Source organism: Homo sapiens, chromosome 13 (assembly GCF_000001405.40).
Source record: "Homo sapiens chromosome 13, GRCh38.p14 Primary Assembly".
NCBI classification, from domain to species: domain Eukaryota; kingdom Metazoa; phylum Chordata; class Mammalia; order Primates; family Hominidae; genus Homo; species Homo sapiens.
This window is the reverse complement of record NC_000013.11, coordinates 109,839,301-109,847,554: the sequence shown is the minus strand read 5'-3', so window position 1 is coordinate 109,847,554 and position 8,254 is coordinate 109,839,301. Positions and strand designations below refer to the sequence as shown.

The window sequence follows — 8,254 nt, the reverse complement described above, 5'->3', positions numbered from 1 at the left end:
GTAGTCCATCTTTAGAACAGGAAATAGAAAAGGTGTAACTATTTTATACATGTTTATCTGTGGAATTTCCCAAGAGAGGGACTTATCAAAATAAATAAATAAATGTTTGGTTTTTTATACTGAAAATAAGATTGGGATGAAATAAATGAAGGTTATTTAGTGTATTACCTAATTAGTGAGTAAACTTCAAAGTCCTATAGGTAATTTTCCATAAAGGATATTAAACTAAACCACATGAAGAAATATTGGGTACAGAGAATGTGTAAAACATCCTCATGCCTTAGGATTCCACAGAACGTAAATGACTTCTTAACAGATTATTTAAAAATCTATTACAAAAGTCACACATTAATCTTGATTTTTAAATATTGAAATTTCATTTCTGAGTTTTGGCTTCCAAAGTATAGCGACTTCATCTCACTACAACTGAGTTTGCTTTTTTGGCAACTGAAGAACAATCAGAAAAATAAGCAACTATTTTTCCTGCACACCCATGGGAGGGAAAAGTCCGCTGCCTCTTTGTTCATACCTTCCGCTCTGGATCTCACTGCCACCTGTTAGCTTAGGGATGGTCGCCTCCCTGGAACAGCCCTGCTGGCCTTCTCGAAGGTCTGCGTGAACACAGCCCTTGGTTCCAGCTTTCTGAAGCACACACAACAGCCTACCTAAATCCCTCAATGACACCCCACACACCGCCTTGCCATGTTGATTAAAGTCCAGACTGCTCCCTGACACTTAAAGCCCTGCAAACCACCCGCTTAAGCTACCATCCCAGCGGCAATAAGTAGCTGATTACCCCCAACCACTCTCAGTCAAGGCCACCCTCCACCCCATCCCTGGTCCTCCAGAGACACCATTCTCTTCATCAGGAAAGCCCTCGCCCTATTTCTACCTAATTAAAGAAAAATATACCCATGCAATCATTCTTAATTTTTATCCTTTATTCCTGCATATATTTTCTAAATTCTGATTAAGTGTATACATTTATGATTAAGACATTAAAAGGAGGGGGTTCTTGCCCAGTTTTCTCAGCTCCCACTGCACTGCTGCTGGACCTCTCTGATGCTGTGGAGTCACTCAGCAGAGCTGGTCTCTCTCTCCCCAGCTCCTGAGGAAGTCACTTTTGATCCAGGCTCTACCTAGGCCACCTACCACTCACCACTTTCCAGTGTGAGTGGAGCTTTGCTCACGAGGCTGGAGGAACCATATGGATTCAGGTTCGTGTCCATCAGGGTTAAATCTGGACATGTTCTCTTCCTAAAGACGGTGACACTTTCTCTTTCTAAAGGTTCATGTCCGTCAGGGTAAATGGAGACACTTGCTCTTTCTAAAGACAGTGAATGGCTTTTGTCCAGGGAGTTCCATCCAGGGTTCATGCATTTGTGACCTCCCAAGAGAAAAATAACACTTCAGCGAAAACTGGCAATTTTTACTAAAGGATGACAAGTCACATCTTTCCATCTGTGGATGTCCAAAGTGGCATCAACGTACCTTGCTACCACAGTAAATCATTGTGACTTTGTTTCATAAAAAACTCTTAAAGCCCTCGACTAATTTCAGATATGTCTAGTAGTGAAGGTGCTCTGTTGGGAGGTTTTTCGTGCAATAACAAAATAAACCCAAAATGCAGAGTTCAATACCACCACTAATCAGCTAAGAAACAAAGTCCCAGAAGACAGCACAAATAGGTGCTAGGGAATGCGTTCTCGGCTGGCACCAAGGAGAAGTGATCAGATCATAACATGTTCTTGGCATTTTTGGAAACACTCATGAAGTTTTTGAGTTTTGCTTGGTTTTCTTTTGCTATCTGACTTTGCTGTCCCCTAAATTATTATGACTTGTCATTAGACATTTTTTAAAAAAAAAAAAGAATAAAAAAGCTAAGTCTCTAGCCTATTATTTTTGAAGAGGTTTGCTATATGTTAGATCCACTATGGTAATAAGATCTATGGTTACACAGCGTGGGGCAAGGGAAAGAAAATGGATTGGGGCTGAGAAAGCTGAGTTTGAATTGCAACTCTGGCATTTATTAGCTGTGCAACAGTAAGAGGGTTAATTGACTTCTCTGAGCTGCAACCTCGTTCTCAGTAAAAATGGGAATTACTATCACTTCTTGCTGATTTGTAGAAGAGGATCAAAAGAGAAAGAACGCCCCACAAGCATTCAGAAAGTATCCATTTCCTTGATCTTCTGTGCGTAGTTACCTCATTCCCATGGACAATCAAAAGTGCTCTGTAGTTTTACTTTTTTGGTTGTTTTTTAAACACTGGCCTGCCTAAATCTCTGGTCAAATAAAAACTGACTCGAATTTTCCGGCTCAGGAATGTGTGGCTGCAACACCTGAGCTGACTGATGTATTTCTATGCCCCTGTGGGATGCGGGCTGGCGGAAGGGGCATTCTCACCTTGAGCCGGGCAGCCTGATCGGTGGACTTGGGAAGCAGGCTCACCTGCTCCTTCCTCCTCTGTGCTCACCTGGGGGTTCCTGAGCCCAGGCCATCTGCCAGCCTGGGCCTCTGCACCGGGCTTCCCTTTTCCCTTTTCCTGTCTTGAGTTTCACATCTGTCAGCTGGGGTGGGCACTGGGCTGCCCCATGCTCTCTCTGGCACCACACATGGTTCATGTCCTTCCCAAATATGGGAAAGGCTGAATCCCTTCCAAAGCATGTGTGGGATCAGGTATGCTATTATTTCACACATGTTTTGAGATTCTTGTCTTCCTTGTGAATTAACCAAGTAATGCACTTGGTAAATGGAGTCATTCGAGCGGCTTTTTACAAAAAGACCTTGCTTCTTTTACCACAGAACAAAGTATTGAGTACTTTAAAATAAGAACCTAACACAAGCCAGAAAGTGGCTAAGTGCCAGCTTGTCGGGCACAGGAGGCTGGGATTACTCAGCAGGCGTCGGAATTGTTTACCTTCTTCAGGGCTCTGTACTGGAGTCCTCCGTGTTTAAGATTTCTTTAAGGACTCAGGCTACATCTGCCCAACATGAAGTCTAGTGTTACTGGTATTGAAAAGATGGGTTGGTGAATAAAATGACTTTAATGATTCATATCCTGGAGCATTTTTGCAAAATGAAATGCAGCAATTAGATGGAGTGTTCCAAGATGTCCCTGCGCGAGGGCAGTTAGGACTTCGCCTACCACACCATTTTTAATAAATGAGGTCACGGCGTATTTATATGTACTCTCGGGGCAGGTTCTGGCTAGAACGAGGACCCACTAACAACAAAGTTACACTTCAGAGACCCCACCACTCACTCACTTCCAGTCTCTTTACCTTTAGAGCGTTTCATTATTTGGGGACAAGGCAGTAGAGAAGAAAAACAATAGGAAGATAATTAATAGGTGAAGAAAACACTTTCTTTTTCACCTTCCTCCAAAATTATCATTTTCTTCATTTGAAAAGTGAGGGCAGATAGACCGCAGTACATCCACACAATGGAACATTATTTGGGGATAAAAAGAAATGAGCTATCGAGCCATAAGGGGACACAGAGGTAGCCTCTATGCAAGTTGCGAAGAAGCCAATCTGAAAAGGTCAGATGCTGTGAGATTCCAACTGCAGGGCGTTCTAGAACAGGCAAAACTATGGGGACAGTAAAAAGATAAGTGGCTGCCAGGAGCTGGGGGAGGAAGGAACGAGGGACAAATCGGCAAAGCACAGAGGACTCTATGGCAGTGAAACCACTCTGCGTGGTGCTGCAGTGGAGGCTGCACGCCCTTCAACACTGGCCAAGACCCACAGAATTCACAAAGCCAAGGGTGAACTCTCAACTCTGGACTTCAGTCCATAACAATGTATCAATATCAGCCCCTCAATTGTAGCGAGTGTACCATATTCATCCAAGATGTTGACAATGAGAAAAACTCGTAGCAGTGGGGTGGGGCAGTGAAAAGGTATACGAGAACTCTCTGTACTTTCTGCTCCATTTTTTTGTAAACCTAAAACTGTACTTAAAAACATCGTTATTCATCAATTAATCACTCATTTATTAGTGACTTTAAAAGTGAAGGTAGCCATTTTCACCTCAAAGCATGTGTGAGACCTAGAATTCTGAGGGTCTGGTTCCTGCTGTCTCAGGGGAACCCTCAGGTTGCTGGCTTCTCTCCGTCTCCATTTTCTCTGCATTTCCTGACCGGCCCTGAAGAACCTTGCCTGGGAGGCAGAAGTGCAGCAAAGTCAGCCACCAGTTTTGTTCCCGTCGCTCTCCCTGGCCCTCTGTCCGCCCGGAACCGGAGTGCCAGGCCTGGGTTCACACCCACTTTGGGAGTTTTCAGCCCCTCCCCCACTAGGATTTCTAGTGAGAATGTGTTGTCCCTTTCGAGTGACTTTAGTGGAAGACCAACACTTTCTACCGCATTTCTTGTGCGGAGTGGCCTGTGGCTGCTTTCTCTTCCCTGGAGGATGACGGTGCTGGAGTGGGAGTGAACCGCAGATGCTGGGTAATGACGCTTTCCCACATTGTGGCAGGCCCTGTGGCTCTGCCAGGCGGGGTGTGGACGGTGCCTTTTGGCAGTTGTCAGTGGGCAGAGCCTCCATACTGGCCATCTTCTTAGTGCCAAGCCCAGTTACCGGAAGGGAACATAAAGGGAAATAAGTCCTGTCTTCACAGGACTCGGTAAAAGGGATGAACCTCTAACTCAGCAAGGGCTATGCACAGAAAGGAGTCATGGGAGGTGGGATGTTTAGGTGGGATGTTTAGGGTAGGGCCATCCCTGAAGGATCAGTAGGAGCTAACCAGGCCCAGGAGTGGGGATGGGGTAAAAGCTCTCCTGGCTCCAAACAGCCCAGCGGCTCTCTGTGCAGCTCTACAGGCGCCAGGCAGGTGTCCTATTCCATGCCCCCCACTCCTCCATGACCCTGGGGACATCCCAGCAGCACCAGAGTTCACTCGAAGCCAGATCCCTGCTGTGACCCCTAGGAGCACTTGCCTCGCCACAGGGATCATTAATTTATTATTCTTCAGGGGGCCCTTTCCAAAGGCAACCACATTACAGAGGAGGCCCATCATCTCACTGCAAAGTTTAATACATCTAACTTCTCTTGTCATATAATCTCACAGCTGGAAGGAATCTCTGAAACCCTCCATGCATATTCAAGCTTAGGAAACCAAAGCCCTGGAGGTTCATTCCAGTTAGGGTTCTTTCCCTACACTGATGTGATGGTTCTCAGAAGCAAGGCAGGCGGAACAGGGACTTGTGAAGCTATGACCACATCTGGGCACCCATCAGACATGGTGCAGGGGGAGGAATATGAATAACGGCATATTTACCACATCTAGGGCACAAATCCTCTCTTTTGCAATAAGCTTATAGATGATCCTGACCATCCTCCAGATACTGCCCACATTCTTCCACATTCCTAACTTACCCAGGCAAAGAACACAGGTGTGGAGACACTTGTGTAGTGCATGATAGTTTCCAAACACCCAAAAGTGACTTTAGATAAGTTACTACCATCAACGTTGCCAGCAAGTCCACGAAGAATTCCCAGAGTAGGTTCCCGATTGTCTACCAAGGATTGTGAGTGATGTCCACTCAATCAAGCACCATTATTTTGCCTTGATTTACCTATTGGGCATTACCTAGTGCCTTTTGATTTTCTAGTTTCCAGTTTTGTTTTATTATATTTCATTTTATTTTTTGAGACAGAGTCTTGCGCTGTCGCCCAGGCTGCAGTGAAATGATACGATCTCGGCTCACTGCAACTTCCACCTTCCGGGTTCAAGCGATTCTCCTGCCTCAGTATCCCAAGTAGCTGGGATTACAGGTGCCTGCCACCAAGCCCAGCTAATTTTTTGTATTTTTAGCAGAGATGGAGTTTCACCATGTGGGCCAGGCTGGTCTCAAACTCCTGACCTCAGGCGATCCGCCCACCTCCCAAAGTGCTGGGATTACAGGTGTGAGCCACTGTGCCTGGCTGCCAGTTTTCTTAAGAGAAGACCAGTGTGGTATATCTCTGGATACCCAGTGAATGGCTTTGCCATGTGACTGTAGCAGGAAAGAGCTGTGGAACCAACCCTGGTCATCAGCATTTTGGGCGGGGGGGTGGTTGCGGTGGACAACATCTTCAAAGGAAAGGGTCTAAAGAGCTGAGCTAAATGGCTTCTCCTAGTCAAAACAAAACGCAACTCTAATATTAAAATATTTCAGTGTAAGTTTTATGATGCCAAACTTTTAAGTTAGTTTTATAATTATGAAGAAAGAAAGTTCTATTATGGCCTTGTGTGTGTGTGTGTGTGTGTGTGTGTGTTCACTGATCTCGAAATCACTCATGTAATATAGTATTTTGGCTATAAACCCATGGGCTCCCGATGCTGAAGGTATTTTGTTCTGATAACATTCAGAACAAAATCCCACCGCATAAAGAGAAAGAGGTCCTGGGTGGCCGGAGTGAGCAGGCTCTGGGGTTTGTGTCTCACCCTCCTAAGAACTCCACAGCCACAGCCAACCCCAGCCAGCTGCACTTCTCAGTTACCTCTGTAAAGTGGCTGTAGAATCAATGTCACCAGCCAAGGTAGGCAGGGACTTCCTCAGAACAGACAGTGAGGTAGAATAAAAGAATATGCAATTGTTCCAAGTGAATCTTAGACACATATCAGAGAGAAAGATTTAGACCAGATTTGCAAATGATGGGTATGCAACCAACATTGGCCTGGGACTTCAGCTGACTCCTGTTCTTCAACCTTTATGAGTCCAAAATGATGACTTCACACATTTTTGAGAAGGAAGTGGGGATCAGGGTTGGCTAAGCCACAGGGAATGTGGCCTGCTAATCCTGAAGACAAGGGCTGTGGTTTACACTTCCTCTCTATCCTTTCCTGCCACTCAGAAGTGGCCTGGGCATGCACGCCGCATGTGCCATCACTTAATGCTGGTTTGGTTTGACTTTCCAGAAACCAGCCATTCTTCTGCTTGCCCAGATGCTGAACTTCTCATTCTTCAAGAGCTGGTTCAGATAATGCTTCTGTGAAAATGTCCCTACCCCACGTACACAGTCTGAGGCCATTTGCTCTGTGCTCCCCAAAACCACATACAGAATGGCTGAGTCACTCAATGCTATGATACAAGTCTTTGTCACCTGCCTGTCCCACTACCCTTGAGTCACTGACAGCACAGTTCCAGTCTCTTGCGTCTCTGTGTCAGCACTGGTGAGGTGCCTGCCACATTCCATGTGTTCCATAAATGTTCTTTTTCAGAAGGAATTTGAGATGAACAAGGGCTTGGGGATCATTCAGCAGGATACAGACGCTGACAGCCGGCACGCAGCGGCCACACCGGCACAGTTAATCTCTTGACTCTGACACCACAGGAAGCAGACCCCATACATAATGCTGGCTTTATTTTCTCCACGTTCAGGCTAATCAGTCCTAAACACTCTTCTTCTTGTCTCTTAAATGCCTCTTTTCCTCCACAATTTTATTTTTAAAAATGCTTCTTGTGCCTTCGTTCTATTCATATCAGTTCTCTTAATTATAAAAATAGGCTGACTTTTAAAGATTAACTTATATATTAGCCTATTAAACTATCTAAGTTATGTGGCAGATATTATTCAAAACTTACTAGTAATAGATATTTTGCCTGCCAAACCCTTCAAAATGTCATATTACACCAAAGGCTGTTGCTTAGGTTAATTTAGTCACACTAGAATTAATCCAATTAGTGCACTAATTTTTATTTTGATCTATCATGATTTCCATGAAGTGTATTCTCTGTTAGAATATGCCCTGCCAAGAATGGATATGTCATTCCATAGCCAGCAAGGAAGGGTATCGAGGAAGAATGTTTAATGGCGGGAGAAAAGACCGGCCCTCATTGTTTATTAAACAGGAAAGTGAGTTCGAATCTGTTATATTATGACCCTGAATGTGAAAAAAAAAAAAAGACAGCTTATCTTTGGTTGGGAGGCCTGGGAATGATTTTGATGATTTTGATTTTTCTTCTTTATGCTTCTAGGGATTGGGGGGATTTCTTGGATGGACAGAAATTTCTTTACATCAGGTGGGGCAAAAGCACTTTTAAAAATCCTTGGCATTTGGAAAGCTTAAGCCATAGACTTAAAACTTCCCACCTCTCCTTGAATATCCAGAGAGTCGGGGCAGTGGGGGCCCTTAATTCACAGAAAGACCAGGAGACTCTTGCTCCCCTTCAAGGTGTGAGAAATCTCCCCACCACTGCAGGTGCATGGCAGGTGGGATGTCACTAGTGTTAGAAGGTTGTGACCTGGATCTGGGGAAGGCCACCGTGTT

At 44.9% G+C, this 8,254-nt stretch overlaps 1 annotated feature.

The window, feature by feature from the left end:
* Positions 6,306 to 7,505: an enhancer, noted in NCBI's record as "BRD4-independent group 4 enhancer chr13:110492397-110493596 (GRCh37/hg19 assembly coordinates)". NCBI's record gives its function as "activates an origin of replication core promoter dependent on BRD2, P300/CBP, MED14 and CDK7 cofactors, and independent of BRD4, by STARR-seq in HCT116 cells {active_cell/tissue: HCT116}" and the evidence as "EXISTENCE:reporter gene assay evidence [ECO:0000049][PMID:35650434]".